At 51.8% G+C, this 1,352-nt stretch overlaps 1 annotated feature.

Moving 5' to 3' along the window:
* Positions 217 to 771: an enhancer, noted in NCBI's record as "H3K27ac-H3K4me1 hESC enhancer chr6:161106525-161107079 (GRCh37/hg19 assembly coordinates)". NCBI's record gives its function as "activates a minimal SCP1, AML or CMV promoter by ChIP-STARR-seq in naive H9 embryonic stem cells {active_cell/tissue: H9 hESC(naive)}" and the evidence as "EXISTENCE:reporter gene assay evidence [ECO:0000049][PMID:30033119]".

Raw genomic sequence — 1,352 nt, 5'->3', positions numbered from 1 at the left:
TGCACTGCATGGGCCAGGTTAAACTGAATGAAACATTCCGATTTTGATCCCTTTCATTATTTGTTGTCCATACCCATAAATACTTTTACAGGGATCAGTTTAGATGCCAAGTCAAAAGCAAATAGGCAATGAATCAGCTCTTCCAACATTTTCTTCTCCTGAAAAAGGTTCTTTGAAAGCCCTGTTTTGCAGAGACTCAGTCCTTTTGCATGATGGGTAAATCATAGGAGATATCTACCAGGTCTTATGTTACATACTTAATGTGGAAAGGTTGCTTCATCCAAAAGCTTGGAGTTTTCAGAGACACTGTCCTCAAACTTCCCCCCTTGGACAATACCAGCGCCTGCAGGGAACAGCTCTGACACACTTAAGACTTAAATACAACCCACAGAAGTGCTGGCTTGGCTGGGAAAACCTATTGCTGAGCAGAAGAGCAGCATTGTTTTTTTTTTCTTTTCTGGAATTTGTAAACAGCATTTATCTCAGCCTTGCCTTTGAAATGTTCCAGTTGGGAGGGAGGAGCCAAGATGGCTGAATAGGAACAGCTCCGGTCTACAGCTCCCAGCGTGAGCGACGCAGAAGAAGGGTGATTTCTGCATTTCCGTCTGAGGTACCCGGTTCATCTCACTAGGGAGTGCCAGACAGCGGGCGCAGGTCAGTGGGTGCGCGCACTGTGCGCCAGCCGAAGCAGGGCGAGGCATTGCCTCACTCGGGAAGTGCAAGGGGTCAGGGAGTTCCCTTTCTTAGTCAAAGAAAGGGGTGACAGACGGCACCTGGAAAATCGGGTCACTCCCACCCGAATACTGCGCTTTTCCGACGGGCTTAAAAAACGGTGCACCGGGAGTTTATATCCCGCACCTGGCTCGGAGGGTCCTACGCCCACGGAGTCTTGCTGATTGCTAGCACAGCAGTCTGAGATCAAACTGCAAGGCGGCAGCGAGGCTGGGGGAGGGGCGCCCGCCATTGCCCAGGCTTGCTTAGGTAAACAAAGCAGCCCGGAAGCTCGAACTGGGTGGAGCCCACCACAGCTCAAGGAGGCCTGCCTGCCTCTGTAGGCTCCACCTCTGCAGGCAGGGCACAGACAAACAAAAAGACAGCAGTAACCTCTGCAGACTTAAATGTCCCTGTCTGACAGCTTTGAAGAGAGCAGTGGTTCTCCCAGCACGCAGCTGGAGATCTGAGAACGGGCAGACTGCCTCCTCAAGTGGGTCCCTGACCCCTGACCCCTGAGCAGCCTAACTGGGAGGCATCCCCCAGCAGGGGCAGACTGACACCTCACACGGCTGGGTATTCCAACAGATCTGCAGCTGAGGGTCCTGTCTGTTAGAAGGAAAACTAACAAACAGAAAGGA

This window comes from Homo sapiens, chromosome 6 (genome assembly GCF_000001405.40).
Source record: "Homo sapiens chromosome 6, GRCh38.p14 Primary Assembly".
Lineage (NCBI taxonomy): Eukaryota > Metazoa > Chordata > Mammalia > Primates > Hominidae > Homo > Homo sapiens.
This window is presented reverse-complemented; position numbering and strand designations above follow the sequence as displayed.